Consider the following 22058-nt stretch of genomic DNA (forward strand, 5'->3'; position numbering starts at 1 on the left):
GGAGACAAAAGTGCATTAGAAACAAAACTTGGACGAGGATGGATGGTGTGCATATAATCCATGAAATATAATTGCCCAGTGAAAATAATTTTTTAAAAAATTCCTCGATGAGTACTATGTTCCCTAAGATGATCTCACAATAATTGTGTTCTTGACAAAAAGAGAATGCGAAGTAGTTCTGTGAAGGAAATCATGTATAAATGCAGCAAAATGTACCAAAGGTGCATGTCTAAATCTTCATGGAAAGTGAGGCAACTCTCCTGACATATTTGCTCTATTGGGTTTTCTTTTTTTTTTTTTTTTTTTTTTTTTAGATGGAGTCTTGCTCTGTTGCCCAGGCTGGAGTGCAGTGGCGTGATCTTGGCTCACTGCAAGCTCCGCCTCCCGGGTTCACGCCATTCTCCTGCCTCAGCCTCCCGAGTAGCTGGGACTACAGGCGCCCGCCACCACACCTGGCTAATTTTTTGTATTTTTAGTAGAGACGGGGTTTCACTGTGTTAGCCAGGATGGTCTCGATCTTCTGACCTCATGATCTGCCCGCCTCGGCCTCCCAAAGTGCTGGATTGGGTTTTCTTAAAGTACAATACACCTATGCTGATGTGCTTTGGAATAGGACTTTAATTCTCCTGGATAGGCTCCCCCATAGCTCTCCAGACAATGAGGTGTAGTGAGACATGAGGCTTCACCCTCAGGCAGGACTAGGTTTTACTCTAGACACCACCTCTTACTTACCAAATAACCAAGAACAAGGCACTTAACCTCTGTGAGCCTCATTTCCCAGATTACATAAAAAAGAGGTAATAACACTGATGTGAAGCCTAAGTACATTATGTGCACCAACAACCCAATTTGAGCTGTATTGTAAGTGGGCTAGTAAATCAGCTATTCCGTTGACAAACATGCATTTTAAAGAATTTGTTCACTTCCACTTGAGTCACTAGTTGCTCACCAAGGACTCCAAGTTTTATTTTCTATAGCACGCCCTAATCGCTATTAACATTCTTTAAGCTATCATCAACATCATTGTGAGTGAAGAAAAATAGCACTCCAAGTATGCACAATGAGGAATTATGATTCTGAGCTTTATTTCTGTGAAATAGGATGTAAGAATTGGCAAACAGAGAGGAAAGGGATCTGAAACATTTTTGGCTGCATTATCTGGTTTCTATTGGGAAAATAAATTCTAAACTCAATAAGAAAATTGTTTTAACTGGGAAGATTCTCCAAGTTTACTTATAATGCATATTGTACTAAAATAAATTAAATGGGAAGACACGAATTATAGTTCCCCTAATCAAACGTAAACATAATTATAGGGGACTGAGCTATTGAATGTTTATATAACCTAAATCATTAGTCACTAAGTTTATTTTCCACAAGAATGATATACTTAGAATACAGAAATGAAACTTGAGTTACCAACTCACTGCTAATAGAATCTATTTGATTTATTCAGTATTTAGCAAACTTCTTTTGAATACCAGATTCTGGGTTTAAGTGCTGGAATACAAACATGAATAAGCACAGTGCCTCTCTCCCCTTCCATGTCCCAAGTACTCACAGAGCCATGAGCATGAGTATCTCACTTCAGTCTGTGGAGTACTAGAACAGCCTTATAAACAGACGTTTATCCCAGCATGATGTATCCCATCCTATGCCCAGTGAAAGATGTCAGTAATACCTTGGATACCCCAGGACAGTCTGGAAGTCTCAAGGGCAGCCTGAATTAGTTACTTCTTTTCATTTAGCATAACAAAAGCACCAATCTTCCTGTTTTTACTATTTGTAATATAGTAGCTGAAGCATATGAGTTGTTGACCTAAGTTTTTCAAGAAGAGGAAATTTCTCTGTCTGGACCAACTCTTGAAAGCCTCTCCCTTTTTTCAGACAGGCTCATGGCATGCACCACCCCAAATAAACTAATCTGACCTAATACAGGCCTACACATCTCCAACTCAGGGCAGCTCTGCACTGGGTACCCGAATTTGGCTTGAGCTAGTGATTTCTGACTGAGAAAAGTATTCATCCAGCCTCTGAGGAAATATAATGAATGAAGATGGGATTGGGAATTTGTGTTCTACAGGCATCTAGGAAGAGTCTTGAATAATTTGTCAGTTTTTCTTCCTGTTGTTGCATTGGTTCTTGGTACATACTTACAGGGTTATTCCACAACAAATATTTATTTTTGAAACATACTGTATTAATTAGGAATGCTTTCAGTTGCAAGTAGCAGCACATTCAACCATAGTGGCTTAAATAAGAAGAGTTTTGTTTTTCTCGTGTTAAATTCTTGGAATTTGTTTTAAAAACTTCACAGTGCACAAATCTCAATGATTTTCTTCTCCATTTCCTCACAGTCATTGGATGGCAGCTGCGGTTCCTGCCATCTCTTTTATGTTCCTTTAGGAAGAAGGAGAAAGAGGAAGGGGCAGCTTCTGTATCAGGAAAGCAAAAGTTTCCCAGGAACCCTACAGTAGACTCCTGCTGACAATTCGTTGGCCAGAGAGGAAAGGGAGTTGGGAAGTGTCAGCCAACCACCAGGGTCTACTGGACACCTCTCTAATTGACACAGTGGATGGTACTGAAATAAACAGATAAACGAGCTGACATGCCTGCTAACTAAAATGGATTAACTCGTATTTGCAGTAATATCTGACTTATGAGGAATGCCCCTAATGAGATAACTGGAGATTAGTTTCTATTAGATATTTAGTGTATGTTCTCAGCTTCTTTACTGACTAGGCCGGGCCATTTCCATCTATAGATCAAAGCATGAAGATATTTACTCCTGAAGGACCTCTCTTACGTAGGAAGCCAGTGGCCAAGACACAAGTCCTGAAGTATGTGCTGTTCCAATTCATGGGCTGCTGTATTCATAATAGTGATCATCACAGCTATGGGTACTGTTTATGCACTGCCAAGCCCTGTGCTCAGACGCTTTCTAGATACTGCCTCTCTGAGCTCTCCAATGAGCCATATTTCCTCCATTCTAAGACAAAGCTCTCAGATGATGTATACCATTAATATTTTATTCCTCCAGACCCCTACAAAAAGAAAAAGCCGTCATTAAATCAATGAAATGTCTTTCCATTGGTGGCATCACAGAATCACAGAATCAAGAAACTGTGGTATTATTTCCATTTGAGGACACGAAACTTGTAAAGATAAGATAAGTTTTGGTAACTTACCCAGTGTCACCCAGCTAGAAACAAGCTTCTCTGATTCTAACCCTGCACCATTTTGTTACATTCTCTTTTAGATTAATGTGGTGATATATAATGTAATAACTATGATGTGTACAGCGCTTACTTTACACCCAGCACTGAGATAAGTGCTGGTCCTGGTTAAGCCCATATAAATCCTCACAATGGCCGCCTGTGTGGGGAGTGCTAGTCCTATCTGGAAAACAAGGCTCTAAAAGTAAAGTTGTTCATGCAGATTAAGCCCAGGTCATCTGGCCTATGGCACAATTCTCTTCATCGCCATGCAGTGCTGTTTGTCAGAGTAACACATAAGAATATTTAATTCTGTAATTATTCTGCTGCATTTGCCATGTTCTGTCCGCCATCCAACACAAACCATAGGAAGCTCTATGGACACATCCTGGCCTCTAGGTCCTTTATGTTCTTCCCCTCCTATTTTCCTACACTCCTTGTTTTCCAGTAGAGTGGATCAATCCACTTCACTTGGCATCACTTAGCTGCTGCTCAGCTAACATCATGATCCAGGAGTTGAGAGAGGGTTTGACTGTTCTGAAGAGCAAATAGGTTAGCAAGCAGAATTCACTTAATTGCATTAATTGGAAGAGCAGGGAAAGGCATTGAGATGGATGGTAGGAATGACAAAACACTTCACAGACACCTGAGGAACTCACAGTCTGGAGGGTGCATTTGGGAAATAGAGGCAGGCAAATGAACAAAATAAAACAGACCTGTCCAGAAAGCTGTGGGAGCACAGAGCAGGAATCATGCGGTCCCACCAGAGGATCCTGGAGGACTTCCCAGAGGAGGTGGCATGAACCTCTTACCACACAATAACAGAGTGGGGGAGAGGGTCTTCTGGTAAAGGTATGGTATGTACAAGAGCCCTGAAAATTTAAAAGGAATTTTTAGAGATCAAAGGACAGCACCTGTCCCATAGTGACCTCTCAGCTAATATTAGCTCCTAGGAAGATAACTGGGACAAAGGAGGGGAGCAGGAGACCAGCCCAGAGAGGTGGACGGGGCCAAACCATAACATTTGATGGATTTCAGATTTTGAAAAACTAAACAAAGCCTCCTGTTGGAAGGGCACAAGACTGTTAAAGGCATCTAAATTCAGGGAGAGGGAAGGATTTGTGTGGGACTATGGCAGAGTTGTGAACTCAGGGAGTTAGTGAGAGCAGCAGGAGTAGGGAAGTATCTTTACGTCCCAAATTGGAACATGGGCTGTTCTGGAGAGGTCCACTTAAGATGCTGTCACAGCATCATTGGATCTAGCACCTTGTACTCAAAAGAAGCATGGTCAGTTGTTTACATTGACAGCATCTGGGGCTTGTTAGAAATGCAGAATCTCATCTCATCTAAGATCTACTGACTAGAAATCTGCCTTTTTGATAGATCCTCAAGTAGCTTCCATCAGCCCATTGCAGATTAAGAAGCACTTCCCCAGTACAGGGGCAAGAGAGCAGACTTTATCAAGGGCCCTGTTTTATTCCCATTCAAGAAGTGAGGCCCAATGGAAGGCTTTTACATTGAGGGAAAGTGGCAACTGAGAGCACAAGTCTGCAGTTGCTTGAATAAGCAGAAAGGGAGCCTAAGATGCCAAGATTGGATGCCACATGTTCTGGTGCAATGAACAGAAGAAATAGTATGTAGGCAGAGACTGCTGTTAGGCCACCACAATGAGGATATGGCTTCTCCAGGGACTTCCTGAGCAATCATCTGTGGTGCACACATCCCTGGCAGCCTCAGAAGATGCTGAAGAACCTATACCATAGAGCAAGGAAGAGGCACTTAGCAGACGACTCCCAGACAAAAAGGGTGATGGTAGAAATCATTGTTCCTCACTGCTTCCCCCTACTTAGCGAGCAGTCCCTTCAGGTGAGAGTTAGCTAGTTAAATGGCTTTAAGACTTAATGAATGAGGAATATTAGGGAAATATTTCAGACTAAGCTAACATGGACAATGCATGAGCAAAATTAAATTATTCCATTCAGATTACTGCATTCCTTGATGACAGCATTGTTTTTTATTACACCTGAGTACTTCTAGAGTTGATAATATTTAGAAAGCTTTTTCGGCCTGAAGAAGTAAACACTTTAACACTGTAAGCTTCTGGATACCCTTGGCTTTTGTCAAAAAAAACACAGTTGGATGGGTAGACAATACACAGTACATGAAGAATGCTGTCCTAGGCACTGTGGGGAGATGCAAAAGAAGTCAATGACAGGAGAAGGAAACAGGCCATTAAAGCAAAATGGACAACCGCTTATGGTGACTCAAAATTTCTATGGGGCATCACTAAGAAACTTGTAAGATGAATGATTCATGTTGTCAAAGAGAGTTTGGTTAAAAAAAATCAGACTCAACAGTGACTTGCTTCAGTTAGAGTCTATCTGCATCTCAAAGGACTTTTAAGAATCTAACTAACCATCTTCTTATGACAGCAGGGTCACCTCGGAGTACAGCAGCGGGGTAAGAGAGCAGCCACCGTAAGAATAAATCAGACTGCATAATGCTGCATGGGGTATGGAACGAGGGTGGATTTGAGCCAAACCACTGAGGGAAGTTTATCAGATCTTTGAGTAAGTAGAAAACAGGCTGCAGTTTAATGAACCACACTGAGAAGCACTTTCCCTGGTGATGCAGTTTCTCTTCCATGACCTAAAATCATCCAAACCTCCTCAAGCTCTAAAACTGGCAGAAATTTGAACAAAGGCTTGATTGTCTGGACTGCTTATTGCTACTATTCTAAAATAAAGATTTTAAACCTTAGGATAGCTGGCCGGAATGCATCGTAAGCTGTGTGAACCCAAGGTGCTCGAAGGATTAACGATCCCTGAGGAAATATGTTTGTGCGCAGCCCTGGATCCTGGGGCCTTGGCACCTGCTCCATGGTGCCTCTGTGCCTGGCAGTGGATCAAATGCTTGCCCTGGCACATGCCCTCAGCATTTCAGTTTGTGAAGGAAAGGGAGGCAGGGTGCCTGTCTCTGTTTTTCATGCAGGCAGGACTAAGTTGGATACAAGAGATCCAGCATCATAATTGTTTATAAAAGCATACAATAGAAGTAGAAGTGACTTGAGCCAGGTATTCTCACTTCTGTCTCCAAGCCTGCATTATAGTGATACATTTCTAGTGGCACTTCTATGCCTCCAGCTTATACCACTTCTTTGATCTTGCCCATGAAGCACATCAGAGCGTGTGCCCTGGAGTCAGCTTCTGCCTGTCATTAGCAGTGAGACCTTGAGAAAACTAGTAATCTGTCTGAGCCTCAGTTTCCTGACTTGTAAAATGGTGATAATTTCAGGCTCACAGGCTATTGTGAGGATTAAATGACATCACATATGTGGGGTGCCTAGCATGGTTTTCTGACCCATAATATATGCTCGATAAATGTTAGTAACCTTATCTACGTCCCCCATATGATCCACAGGCTTTTGTGATAAGATGGAGACCAGGAGGAGGAGAGAGGCATCTGAGTTTGCAAGCTTGGCAACTAGGTGAATGGAGATGCTTTTAACTGAGAAGGGAAGTACAAAAGGAGGAGGAGGCTTGGGGACAAGATGGTGTTTGGTTTGGCACAGACTGAGACTGAGAAGATGGGATGTCCACAGACACTCAAAAAGCTGACTTGACAACCTGGGGCAGTGGGCAGTGTTAATTGAAGCCATGAATGAGGGTGTGTAGAGTATGGAGAAAGGGCCAAGGAAAAGCCCCAGGGGACACCAGCATTGAAGGGCCAGTGGGGGAAAAGTGAAGCAAATTAGTTGGAGAAGTAGGAGCAGAACTAGCTGATGGCAGCACCATGGACACTTGGGAATTTCTTTTTTATTTTATTTTGTTTTATTGATATATAATAGTTGTACATATTTTGGGGATGCATGTGATATTTTGATATCTGTATAGAAGGTGTAATGATCAAATCCAGGTCACTGAGATATCCATCACCCCAAACATGTATCTGTTTGAGGAATTTCAGAAAAGGTCTTAGCATAGGATCCAGTGCTAGAAGGCCTGGGAACATAAGCACTGCAAAGAGGCCACTAGGAGTCAGTGGGGATTTTGTAGCGATAGCACCCTGATTGCTGGAGATTGAGGAGGAGGCTTGGAGGTGGTGAACGAGGGCCACTCTAAGAAGGGAGCAAAGCTGCAGGAGAAGCAAAGCCAGGCACTAGTTAAAGGCAGGAAAAACAGATTTTACTCGGTAACTACTATAGTAGGGAAGAGCGTCTAGGGAAAACTGAGCTCAATTTCAATCTGTGCAGAGGTGACTGGGCATTTTAAAAAGAGAAGAAAAAGTAGGTAGTGGCAGCTCCAGCAGAGTCAGGGAAGTGGAAAATTACAAAAATCAGGGAGGGAGGCTATTCATTGTGATTGGCCATCTCAGCTTGTTAACTGGTGCTTATGTAGTTAGGCTCCTACTTTTCCACAGAGGCTGGGAGACAGGGCCCTACCTTCAGGTGTTGGCTGGAACAAACAGTAAATTCTGGCAGCCTTAAGGTTTCCCAGATAGGAGCTTAAGGAGGCCTGGGTTGTCCCAGGGACATGGCCTTGAGCTATTAAAAACCATGCTACAGTTGGCTTAGGCCTTAATGCAGTTGGGGTACATGAAATCGTTTGTGCTGAGAGTCTGCAGTCCTTAGAGGCCAAGGTTGAGGCCCAGTGGAGAAGAGGGGTCAAAGTTTGGTCAAAGAGAGAATCTTTATCAGAGGAGGCAGGGTCATGGAAATATAAAGATATTTTAAAACTGAGTGGAAACATCCGGGAGAGAAGACAGATTGAACCCAAAATTGAGGTTGGAGTAATAAGTGCAAGTGATTAGGCCACCCAGAGTGGAACAGCGAGGCAGAGAGAGGCCCTAAGGCCCCATAGAGGCAATGCTCAAAACCAGGGGCCAGCAAATTTTCTCTGTAAGAGACCAGATAGTAAATAATTTAGGCTTTATAGGCCATATATGGTGTCTGTGTCTATTTTTCTTCTTGTTCTTTTAACCCCATAAAAATGGAAAAATCATTCTTGGTTCATGGGCCAGCCAAAAACAGGCTACAGGTGGATTGAGCAGCTACCACTTGCAAACACCCCTGCTCTAAACCCTGGTTTGACCCCATCCATGTGTACAGGTCACCCTTTTCATCATTCAAATTTTCATAGAACGCTTTGACATTCCACCTGCCTGCAGGGACTTTTTCATGATGTTCACCTGCAAAAATTCATCCCTCCTCCCAGCCAAGAAAAAAAATTACAGCCTCATCTACTAGGTGCAGAACTAATTTGTTGCTTGGCATCCCCCCAAATCCACAGGCCCAATTCATTCTGTTAAGCTTCATGCCAGCAGCCTCCACGCAGAACCAGGTGATGTTGCTTCCCTAAAGACAGCACTTTTTTGCCCACTACTTAAGCTTAATTGGGAGCAACTTCCTGCATGACAATGCTCACATTAAAAATATCTTAGGATGGCACCTAAGGTCTACCCATTCACTCCATGCCAAGAAATTCCTGACTTGCTTCCAAAGCAAAACCATAAGTAGGCAGTTCCAAGTCCCATTGGATTGCAGCTCCACATGTGATTTAATTAATAGGTTTCTTAGTCAGTTGCTTTATCTAAGAACAGAAATAGCCAAGCAGATGTGATATCTGTCCATGACGTCATGCTGGTACTTTTGCCCTGTATCAGCTGGCAGAAAATTCAAGGGCCGACCAGCAGAATTTGTTACTTTCAGATGATGATAATGTCTGAAAATTTTGTCTGTTTATTTTAAATATTCAGACATATTTCCGTGACCAGAGGGATGTAGATGAGCTGCCAGAAATTAATGCTTTCCTACATCTAGTACTCTTTGAAGTGTGCATCTAAGAAAAGCAGCATGTTATAGTGGGGAAGTTCCAATTTGGGAATCAGAGTTGGATCTGCATCCCAGACTCAAATAGCTGCATGACCTTGGGCAAGTTACTGACCTTCTCTAAACCACAGACTTCTCATCTGTAAGATGAGGATAATTGTACCTACCTTGTGGGAATATCATGAAAATTAGACATACTACTTGCAACCTTCTGAGTGAGGTATCTGGCACCCAGAAAGCACTCCAGAAATGGTTGTAGTAATAATACTTGTAAGGTCATGGTGTCTCGTTTTAGAACTAGGTGCCCCATGTTTTGGATATTTACCTACCTGAAAATGAAGAGCTGAGCAGTATGATTTTTTTCTGTCTTTTTCAATTATAATCCTATGAACCCCAGATTCCTAATCACATGCTTCTTCACCCCACCAGCCCCTTCCTCTAGTGTAGGTTGTACACCATGTACAAACCAAGCCGACTTTCTTATACACAGAGGTACATGTGTTCATACTCGCACTCCCTTATACCAAGTACAAATTATTGTCTTTTACTTCTGATCATTCACACCTGACACATTCCCTGCCTCAGAAGCTTCCTACAGCTCCTGCCATCCCTGCCTCTTTCCCTTCTTCCTTCAGCTAGTCCAAGAAGCCTGTCCTAAGCAATGACAATCGTTCCACTCCCTCCCTCTATCTGCTATTAGCTCTGTACTATGTAGCTAGACTTGGCAAAGTACAGTTCCTATGTTTTCCCTTGCAGTTTTTTCCCATTGAATGTCTTTTATTTTTCACTCCATATGCTTGTTCTGTCTCTTCGGTTGTCTGTTCCTTGGCCAAGGGTTCTACATATTGTCTCCTCTAACTCTCCACTCAGTGCAAGCATAGCTGGCATCCTATTAATGCTTTTGACTGGTAATTAAACAGGGAGAAAGATGACTAAGTAGGCAGGTATCTGGGTTTACATTATGAATAGGTGCATTGACAATGTTATATTCCAGGAGATAACTTGGTCATCCCAATAGTAAATAAATATTTTGGCAGGAAATGTTTGGTATGGACGTTGGAGTAACAGTCCTTGAGTGCAGAATTGAGGATTGCTAAAGGGCCACAGACAAAATGAAAAATCTAATTGGTTTTATTATCAAACATGACTCTTATGTGGACAAGGGTCAAATACATGTATTTCTTGTATCGGATTGTTTGTAGTAGGGAATTTTGTTACAAGAAATTGGCAAAATGTAAATAGAGCTGATACAGGCTACTTTGGCAAGGTGCATCTTTTCTTGCAGTGGGATTTTAACTTATGCTGCATTATATGTCTCCTACCTCTTATCTTCCTTTGAATGAGTTCCACCCAACCATTCACTGTTAGTTTCCTTGGTTACCAATGACTTTCAGTTTTTAATTCGTGAGTTTCTGGTGTTAAACAAAATAACTCTGTTTTTGTGCTGCATTGACAAAGGTTAGAACTAGTTATTATGTTTTTGTTGCCAGAAAAGCATTACATTTTGTTTTTTTCAATGAAAGAACTAGGTAATATAAGAATAGAAAATGACTCGTAGGGCTTTTCTTTACCAGGCAGGTTTCATTTCTCTCATCACAGAATTCAGAATTTTGACATTTGGTTTTACACCTTTTATCATCAATCTGGTTGTACAAAAAATAATTGGAGCTTCTCCATCTAAATAAAATAAACAATATTACTGCTCCTAATTTTTTAAAAAATTTTTATTCACTCCAACATTCCTGAATGGGATAAATGTGCTTTATATGATTCCAGAGAAAGTAGATGAGATGGTAATTAGGGATTACAGATGAAAAGCCACAGAGGACTTTTTTTTTTTTTCATGATTGCTAAGTACCATCCTATGCAAAAGTGAGTTTAAGTGAGTTTAACCCAAGTGATCCATTAGCCTAGTGAGGCCTGAGGAGGCCTGGTGTAGGCCAGAGAGGAGGGAAATACAAGCTAGAGTGGCTCTTTCAGGGGGAAAAAAATGTCTTTGGGGCTAGGGGCTGCTTTCCGGGGTGTGACACTGCTGACTTCCTGCTCACAGCCCCTGCTTCCCAGTTTCCCATGATGCACCTGGAGCCAGCTGATCAGATCTCCCAGCAGAGGCTGATATATGACCCTGAGTAAGGGATAGATCGTGCATGGGCATCTTTCCCTTTCATGCTTCCTGAAGAGGATCTAAAAGGGTGGCCCTTTGAAAATTGCTCAACCTGAGGAGAGCTTGCCCAGAGGAAATCCACAGCTCATGACCACAAGATTACTCAGATCACTGTCTTCACAGCATTCCCCTTCCACCTCTCCAGAATTCTCCAGGACCTGAGGAGTCATGGACCTGTCTTGGCCAAATATCTCCTGATTATAAGACCATTTGCAAACATGTTTTATTTTCCTTTTAACACATTATGTGGACAGTCTAATTATCCATATGGGCATCTTCACATTCTACTGTCCTTTTAAAGAAAGATCGTGGTGTATAGCACTTTCCTTTGGAATCCATGTTACATCTGTTTTCTGAACTTTTGGTTGTTCACAAGCCCACACCTGAAGAAAAGCATGCCTAGCTGGAAAGAAGGTCATGGCCTCTCATTTACTTTCTTTTGAAAGGTATTTCTAAATGCCTGGCTGACTTTGATGGCTCAATTTCTCCACCTATCCCTTTTTACTTATTTTCAATCATGTATAACCTAACAGAAGATAATACATGCTAAGCGGTCTTATAAGCATACTAATTGATATTACGAATTCCTCTCCAAGTGGTTCTTAAGCATCAAAATATTCAATCACCAATATGTTATCCAACTCTATATATTCTTAAACAAGTAGCAGTTTGTACAACCTGTCTTTGAAGCATTCAGACCAAATGAAATGCTGCTGAAAGGAAGCCTGCTTCCCAAGGCAGGTTAAGCCTGCTTATCAGTAGTATCAGCTATTCTGAGCCATGTGTAGCTAATGGCATTGGAAAGGCCAAGTCCAAGTTTGATTCTTCAGGCAGAAGGTCACTGGTTGAAATTCATTCTGAAAATAAAAAGTCTAGATTTTTAAAGTTTCTGTTGGATATACCAATGTCTTGTTTTAATAGCTGCCATTTCTTTAATGCCTAATATGTGTAGAGATTGAATCCTCACAGCAGCCCTGCAAGGTAGACAATGTTACCACTTTATTAGAGAAATTGAGGATTGTGTAGCTAATTACTTTGCCAGATATGTGAAGGTGCCTGGATGTAAATACTGGTCTGGTTCCAAATCCCACATCCTTTGCAGTCCAGTTGCTGCCCTCCCTCTGTGATGTTCATTCTCCCCATGCATCTATCCCTCCATCTTCCATCTCTGGAGCTTCCTTCAACAGACTTCCCCTTCCCAACTCAGAAGTCATAGCTTTAAACTCTCTTTCCCACTCTATTGAAAACTTCCACAATTGAATTTGACTTGAGCTGCTCTAACAATAGTAAATCCTCTGTTTTGACAACTGAATAATATCTCGTTTTATTTGGCTACTAACTTGCCAGTAGAGAGCAATTACAGTGATATGTGGGTCACCTTAATCAAGTATTTTTCCATAGATACCAGCACAATTATTTTCAAAGCTAAGCCTTTGACAGAAAAAAGATAGGGCCATTACATTAAATCATAAAGTGCTCATTAGAAAAAAATAATACATAATTTCAAGTAAAATTATGGAGAGCTTTCAAATTTTCTGCTGCCTTGCAGTTAGAATTGCTTGGTATTTAATGCTGACTTGGTCAGATAAGATTCATATAGCACTTTATGCACCATTAAATATAAATGTATCTATATTCTTGCAAGTTCTCAGTTCTGATTTCTTTTAAATATCTAGGTGCATTTCTAGATAAATTAGAAAGAAGGACTCAGAAGAAATACCTGTTCCCAACATTGCACACATACCTCTTTCTGTATTTTTCTTTTCTTTCTTTCTCTCTCTTTTTTTTCTCCAGTCCAACTTTGAAAACATGCTGATTTACTCCTTTTGCTACACAGCAAATCTGTGAAATCAGTTTAGTCCACCTTGGAATTGCTCAGAATTCCTATAGATTGCATCAGTGTTCTCCATCTCTAGTACCTGGAGTACTCTCGTACCTCTAGTACCTGGCTGGCATGGTTGCTCAAGCCTATAATCCAGCACTTTGGGAGGCCGAGGCAGGTGGATCACTTGAGGGCAGAAGTTTGAGACCAGCCTAGCCAACATGGTGAAACCCCGTCTCTACTAAAAATACAACTAGCTGGGTGGGCGCCTATAATCCCAGTTACCCTGGAGGCTGAGGCAGGAGAATCGCTTGAACCCAGGAGGAGGAGGTTTCAGTGAGCTGAGATCACGCCACTGCACTCTAGCCTGGCCGACAGAGCGAGACTTCATCTCAAAAAACAAACTAAAAAACAAGTCATCTCCTTGGGCTGCACCCTCCCAGATTCAAATGTGGGTATCCCAGGAATCTGAATTTTTGACGCATACCCCAGATAATTATGACACAGATGATTTCCAGACCCTACTTTGGGAAAAGCTGGAAGAGATGAAGGAGTGAGCATAACTAACATTACTTTATTAGATCCTCAAGATTGGCATGTGAAGTAGAAATTTACCGAGGTTCAGTGAGGTCCCACTGCTTACACCATCAGATTCCCTGAACGTGCCATGCACTTACACAGTTCTGTGCCTTTGCATGTGACCTTCCCACGGAACCCCCTTCTTCTCCTCCCTGCTAAATGAGACCCTGCCCAGGCTTCAGGGCCAGCCCCAGGTAAGCAGACTGCATCATGCTGTCCTTGCTCAAGTTGCCCTTGGCTTGCTGTGATGGTTTGGCATCTGCCATGTGGAAGATGGCTAGTTCTGCACCTGTCTGTGCCCCCACAGACTGTTGGCTCCTCCTTGGCAGAATTCATCTCATACCCAGCATCTCTGCCAGCACCTGGAATTTAGGAGGTTCCTCCTAAGTATGGCACCCAGGTTGCAGAGCCAAGATGGGATCCAGACTTCCATTGTTGTTCGGTCATTCAGTGCTCTTTCACTCACACCAGAGAATCCAAGGCTGCCCCAGCAGGGCATGAACTTTTAGACACCTTTCAGGAGTACTCCATAATATATGGTATAGCCACATGCTTTTCCTGAATGCTTCTGGTGCCCTAAATACACAGTGATGGGGGAATTCTTAGCAGGATTAGGGGAATGATTTGAGTCCCTGACACAGACTGAAGAAACTACTTTTCAACACAAAAATTAAAGCCATTCTAGTGCAGTGCTCTAAATAAGCAGCTGAACTGAATGATAGAAGGCCTTCACATTTGCGACTTCTCAAAATCAGGAAGGTATTTCACCTTCCTGATCAAACAGTGAAATCAGGAAGCAAGCTTAGCTGCTACTGTAGAAGGTTGTCTTGCTTTAATCTGGCTTAACCACAAATCCTATTTCTGAGCCAACTAGTCCTAATAGTCAAGGGATAGGGTTAGAAGTAGCCCCCTGGTGTGCCTGCTGGCCCAGTGGCCCCTGGAGAAAGGCCTCATGTCACTTTCCTCCTGATCATTTTATGATCTTTCAAATTGATGCCTTCCTAGCCCTCCAGTTTGCCACAGCAACTCGTTTTTTTTTTTTTTTGAGACGGAGTCTCACTCTGTTGCCCAGGCTGGAGTATAGTGGTGTGATCTTGGCTCACTGCAACCTCCGCCTCCCAGGTTCAAGCTATTCTCCTGCCTTAGCCTCCGAAGTAGCTGGGACTACAGGTGCGTGCCACCACACCTGGCTAATTTTTTGCATTTTTAGTAGAGATGGGGTTTCACCATGTTAGCCAGGATGGTCTCGATCTCCTGACCTCATGGTCCACCCGCCTTTGCCTCCCAAAGTGCTGGGATTACAGGCGTGAGCCACCACGCCCAGTCAACTCTTTTTGTTTAATTGAAACTGTGATCAGTTCACCATCTGGTTTGTCAGCACAACCATCCAGGTTTTGCCCATCTCCAATTCCAGGCTGATATCTCTTTCTGATCAATCTTGGCTTGGAAAAATAATGGATTTTTTCCTCAGTCTGCATGGGGGAAAGCATTAGTCATGCCATGCTGCCTGTTTGTACTATGTCACGTTGTCTATTTCTATCAAGTGGATGCAGGAGTTACCTTTAGCAGAAGGTACATGATTTGGGTGTCAGAGAGAGTTAGAAAGTTGCTATATAAACAGCTTGATGTGAGCTTTCTATTTACCTTCTACTGTGTATAGAGGCATAAGGAAATAGGCCACTCTCTGGGCAATGTCATTTAGATTATCTTGACTTCTGTCTTTGCCTTGAAGGTTATATTAATAGCCACATCTGCATAGATTTTTTCTTCTTTTGTAAACTTCCACATTTGGCCTCACAACAGCCCTTTAGGCATCAATATTCATTTTGCATAATACACAGAAGTCAAGTGGTTTTCTCAAGGTCACATACTCCATCATACACCATTGTCTCTGGTCCTCTTTTCAGGACACTAGACCACTTTCCCTAAAAGTAGATGCCATACATCCTCATAGTATACCTAAGATGGTAAACTCAGATGGGTTTAAATCTTAAAACTGGTGCTGCTGCTTGCTGGTGATGTGGTCATGGAGATGTCAAATTTCTATTATTAGTACAACTAACCTTCTTAATGGGAGGGATGCCTCAGTATTGAGATCCTGTGAGCACTGATATCAGGAAGGCTTAGGGATGCAGTGCAGTGATGGTCCATGACATCTCTGGACCCAGAGCACAGTGAACATCAAGATGATGTCAAAGAAACTCAGGTTCTCAAGAGGTGGCAATGGCAGCTGAATATATGGATGTAAACTACACACAGAAACCTCGTTGATCTTCAGAAGTGTCACTGCATTGGCTGAGGAGTGTGAAGGTGCTGCCCTGCCTATTCTACCCATGTGCCCTCTTTCTTGGAGTCATTCCCACAAATAGTTAAAACATCCAGGGCAGTATTACTAAATAGCTGAACTGACTCATTTTGGACCATCGTTTGAAAGAGGAGACCACCAAACTACCCTTACTCACATATGCTTGTTCTCCCAACTACAGGCAATTAAATCAGGAAGTGAATGAAGTCACCTCTGTCCTGACTTTTTTGTCCTAGTTTACTTGGTTGAAAGAAAAGAAAAAGATATTTTTATGTTATTTTGAGATGAGAACAAGGACAAGTAATTGGTAAATCTGATGTGTTTCCTTCATAATACAGTAGTCCCTCCTTACCCCAGGGAAATACTTTGCAAGACCCCCAAAGGTTGCCTGAAGCCATGGATAGTACCAAACTAGATAGACCATGCAGAAATTTCTTCTTCCTTCTTCGCAATTTCATGGATGGAAGATTCGTTCTCACTGTAGATTTTTGCAACATCAGCATGAAATATTTTTTTCCTTATTATGTCGAGAACTTTCACCTTTTCACTTAAAGGAAGCACTTTATGGCTTTTTTGGCATATCCAAATTGTTAGCATGACTACTCTTACACTCTGGGTCCATTATTAAGTAAAATAAGGGTTCCTTGAACACAAGCACCGAGCTATCATGACAGTCGATCTAATAACTGAGATACCTACAAAATGGCTTAGAGCAGGTAGCATCTACGGCATGGATCAGCTGGACAAAGGGATGATTCCCAATCCAGGTGGGATGGCCCAAAACATTATCATTCTACTCTGAATGACACACAGTTTAAAACTTATTAATTGTTTATTTCTTGAATGTTTTATTTAATATTTTCAGACTGTGGTTCACTGCAGGTAACTAAAACCATGGAAAGGGAAACCACAAATAAGGGGGAGACTACCGTATAAGGACATTAATAACTCTGAGACAAAAACAGCTTGGGGTTGAATTTTATGGTTCAGTTCTGGTGGTATGGCTGAATTAAACCATCTTCAGATAATAATTCTGGCAGAAATATGCTAGTAGTCATAGTATGCTTTCACTCTTCCAGACATTTTTCATAGATTATCTCATTTAATCCCCCCAAGGACCCAAGTATGCAAGTGCTATTATTATTAATTTCCATTTTGCAGATGAAGACACTGAGAACAATGACCCTTAATAATTTACCCAAAGTTACACAGCTAAAAAATGAAGGTGCCTAGGGTCAAATTCAGGCAGCTTGGCTTCAGTCAAATCTCTCTATAACTGTGTCTCATGAGGTATGGTAGGTACAACTTTCTAAGCACTTAATAGAATGTTTATTGGATGAATGACACAAACAAATGAGTGAACAAACAAATAATGAATGAATATTCAACTGGCTTGCAAAGAGGGTAAATGCGGGTTTGGAGGTAGTTACTGTTGATGAAACTTATCTTGGCTCCTGGAGTTCTTTCAATTCACATCTTCTGAATTTGGAAACAGGATTTTCCCAAATGTTGACTCAAAATAATTTAATAAAAGCAAAAAACTTTGTAGGATTGCAATTAGTTCACTGATTTTTAAAGTCTTAAGTCAAAATATATGATTTTCCAGAAACACTCTTTAGACATTTTAAACTGATACTCAGTTATTTCAAATGTCATGACCATCTGTGTTTAAAAATACTTTCCTCTTTACTGTGGTTTACTTCAGACCCAGTTCCTCATGTAGCCTCTCCTCTCAAGTTAAACTGTGCTGGGCATTTAAAAAAATAGTGTTTATTTGTATGCCTATTCTGTCAGTGTTAATTTCACTATGTAAAATAAAACATTATAACCTTGACTACAAACTTAAGAACTTGAAAGTTTTCTAGTTCCTCCTTTTGAGTTTATAGTCAAGGTTGTCTAGGGCACATGTTGAATTGGAATCTGAAATGCTTTATGGGTTTTTAAAGTAATTATTTTAACCACATGCTATAAGACCAACTCATACCCTGAAAAAGAAAACACAACACACCAGAAGTAACAAACAGCCAACATATTAAAAAGAACCTTTGAGAATTTCTCCTTTTTCCTCAACATCTTTGTGCAGCCAGGGCATTCCAACCCAGGAAGAATTGAACTTTCATTGGGAGGGATTCAGCTAAAGATCATGCAGCGATTCTGGCTGGCATTCCCCAGCTTCAGGAGGAGCCATGGTTCACTCATCCCTCATTGAGCATTGATCCAGGTTACTGATTATAAAGGAAAATGGCTACACCATCTGGTTGGAGAATTCATGTACAACATGCAGAGTTGTAAAAAGACTCATATGCCCTGCTAGCAGCCTTATTGTCATGGGAAGCCAAAGACAGTTATGCCAAAGGTATATGCCAAAACTTTTCAGGTTACCATATAAGAGAGCAAGTTTGGGAAACTACATATCTTATGCAGAAAGAGACCAACCAGAAAACTCAGGGATCTGGGGCTTTGTCATATATTACAGAGACAAATTTATGTTGACTATCACAGAATCCTATGATTCTAGAATTGAATCCATGTAAATGAGAGGTCTTTGGAGTTGGGTGCTCAACTATCACTCACTCATACCTTGTCACTTACACCATGTTTGTTTACCTTAACCATAAGACCATCAAAACTTTGAAATGGACAAAAGATATTGCTGTATGTGGTTTCAGTGTAAGGTGATGTACTAGCTAGCAGATCCACCTGGAAATTATCTGATTTTTTAGGGGTGTGTCCCTTTGTTTGACTTGCTATTTATTACAAAGCAGATAGATGATGACTTTTAGAAAACTGATCATGATAGAAATGATTCTTGCCTGATAATATTGCAATGAATTTTGTCCACTAGAGCTAGAAATAATTTCCATCAACATTACAATGAATTTTGTCCACTAGAGCTAGAAATAATTTCCATCCCACATTCTGCTCCATTAAAAAGATAACCCAAAGGTTAAATTTTTATTGCCATGGTACTTATACATTAGGCAGTCTTGTACCAAATTAGCCATTTTACTCAAATATTCTTTCTTTCAGCTTCTATAAAAAAAATGACCCTCCAATTCTTTTTGAATACATGCTAAAATAATACAAATTTTTTAATTAAAAACTTTAAGATGTCTCAAATACAGCAGAAGTTCCTTTCTTTCTCATTCTTTCAGGTTCAAAATTAAAGTCCTGGTCAGGTACCTTTCCTCAGCATGATAACTCCAGGACACTGGCTCCTTTCCTGTCTCTACTATCCCCTATGGCAGGGGTCAGCAAACTTTTCCTTTAAAGGTCCAGATAGTAAATATTTTAGGCTTTGCATGTCCCTTGCAACTTCTCAGCTCTGTAGTTGTAGCACAGCATAGATAATGACTGAGCATAGTTGCATTCCAATAAAACTTTATTTACCAAATCAAGTGGCAAGCTAGATTTGACCCACAGTCTACAGTTTGCTGACCCCTGCCCTTGGATCTCAGAATCTTCTGTCTGACATGAGAAGAAAGGATAGAGAACACACATTCTTTACTGAACCACCTTGTCCTGAAAGTGCCATCTATCACCTCCATTGGTGAGAATTAGTCCCATGGCTTAGATGGGACTAGATGCAGTGGTACCTGGGAAATGTAGTCCCTGGCTGGACACAACTCTACATCATGGAAAAGAAACATGTGTCCTTGAAAGACCTCTAGCCATCTCTGCTGTAGGTATATTACACACGTAACAACTATCTTGCTGGCCATATAAAATGAATACACATTGAATTTCAGATTTCTTAAAGGCAATACTGTGTTCATGGGAATAAATTTTAGCACTTAATCACTAATTTGATTATAGTTAAATATTTCTCACCCAGATACATAAGACTGCTAATGTAAAACTGGTTTTCAAAATAGGTCATTCACTCGGTGTTGGAAACAATAGGTCATGTTTTTATGGAAACATGTTTGTTATCTACAAATGTAGCATCTACTAGAAAGTGGTAGTTTGTGTATCTATAATTACTTCTTGGCTTTCCTGTATAGTTTTCATCAGAACACTCAGCAACTGGGTCCGTCCATGAAGACAGTATATTGAATTATTTCCATGATTGAGGTACTTTCTTCAGAAGAGGAGGATAATATGGTTTAGAGATTTAAAAGCCAGGTTCTAATTGTAATAGTCCATTCCATTAAAAAAATGTAACCATATTCAGGCTTTTTTAACTATTAAAAAATTCCAGATATGTCTAAGCTGTAGTTTCCACAGTAACTTTGACTCCTCTGTGTGCATAACGCCGGCTTTGTGTATGTACAAAGCAATTACATCAAGACCTGAGTTGTATCCAAGGCAGCAAGAGCTATGATTATAGATGTTATAGACACCCTAATTCACATGTATACCTTGTTCATAACTTGTCTGAAAGTGTGATTTTTCAGTGAAGCTTAAATGCGTTTTTTATCTCTGCTCAAAGGTGAGTTATTTCAGATGCATGAAAGATGACCTATCTCTAATGGACTTGTAGATGAGGAGGAAATTGACCTGTTTTGTGTCTGACTTTTCCCAGTGCCTAGATTGACAGGTGTCTTTACAATCTCCTAACTAGCAAACAAGACTCTCTGACTTCGACAGTGTGAGCTGGTGATTTCTCCTGCTGCTCATCTCTTCTGTCTCTTACTACGCAGTGTTCTCCCCCTGGGCTTAAAACCACAAACTCCAAACTCATTGCAGGTATACCCTGCTTTACCTTTACAAATCCTATTTACAATATTCCATTACAGCTTTTAAATGATTTTTTAAATATTTATTAATACATAATATTTGTACATTTGTACGGGATACATGTGACATTTTGTTACATGCATAGAATATATAATAATCTAGTCACAGTATTTAAGGTATTCAGCACCTTGACTAGTTATCATTTCTGTGTTGGGGAACATTTCAGTTCCTTTCTCATGGCTATCTTAAAATACATTATACAATATATTGTTGTTAACTATACTATCAAACATTATAACTTATTCCTTCTATCTAACTGTATGTTTATACCCATTAATCAACTTCTCTTCATCCCTCCCTCCGCCCTCACACATACACTTTTCCCAGCCTCTGGTGACTATTATTCCACTCTCTATCTCTATGAGATCAACTTTTTTAGCTCCCATATATGAGTGAGAACATGCAGTATTTGTCTTTTTGTGCCTGTCTTACTTCACTTAACATAATGACCTTCAGTTCCATTGACGTTGCTGAAAATGACAGGATTTCATTCTTTTTTTTTTTTTTTTTTTTTTTTTTTGAGACGGAGTCTCGCTCTGTCGCCCAGGCTGGAGTGCAGTGGCGGGATCTCGGCTCACTGCAAGCTCCGCCTCCCGGGTTCACGCCATTCTCCTGCCTCAGCCTCCCAAGTAGCTGGGACTACAGGCGCCCGCCACTACGCCCGGCTAATTTTTTGTATTTTTAGTACAGACGGGGTTTCACCGTTTTTAGCCGGGATGGTCTCGATCTCCTGACCTCGTGATCCGCCCGCCTCGGCCTCCCAAAGTGCTGGGATTACAGGCGTGAGCCACCACCGCGCCCAGCCTCATTCTTTTTTTTAATAGCTGAGTAGTATTACATTTTGTATATATACCACATTTTCTTTATTCATTCATCTGTTGATAGACAGGTTGATTCCACATATCTGCTGTTGTGAACAGTACTATGATAAACACGGAGGTGCAGGTATCCCTTTGATATACTGATTTTCTTTTCTTTGGATAAATACTCCATAGTGGAATTGCTAGGTCACATAGAAGTTTTATTTTTAGCTTTTTGGGAAATCTCCATATGGTTTTCCATAATAGCTGTACCAATTTACATTCATACCAGTAGTGTATAAGAGTTCTTTTTTCTCTGCATCCTCACCAGCATGGTTTTTTTTTCTTTTTAATAATAGCCAGCTTTTAAATGATTTTTGATGAAACTTTTCTAAAGGTGCAAGTTCCCAATTATATATCCCCTCCTACAATCATCTGTTTTCTTGGGGGGGGGAATCTTTAATTGGCTTACATGCAACCTGTTAAATAAGAGCACATAAACGTGTTTTATGGTGGCTATGCCCACTCTTGCATTCACAAATCACTTTCACCCTCCCTGCCTGTATTAAGCATCACATGCCATGGGCCATTGCTGTTACTTCGTAG

At 40.9% G+C, this 22058-nt stretch overlaps 1 protein-coding gene across 2 annotated transcripts in view; it reads left to right on the forward strand.

The window, feature by feature from the left end:
• LHFPL3 (LHFPL tetraspan subfamily member 3) overlaps nt 1-22058 on the forward strand; it is a 579959-nt gene that overhangs the window by 316765 nt on the left and 241136 nt on the right. The gene's annotated exons all lie outside the window — the stretch shown is intronic.

Source organism: Homo sapiens, chromosome 7 (assembly GCF_000001405.40).
Source record: "Homo sapiens chromosome 7, GRCh38.p14 Primary Assembly".
Taxonomy (NCBI): domain Eukaryota; kingdom Metazoa; phylum Chordata; class Mammalia; order Primates; family Hominidae; genus Homo; species Homo sapiens.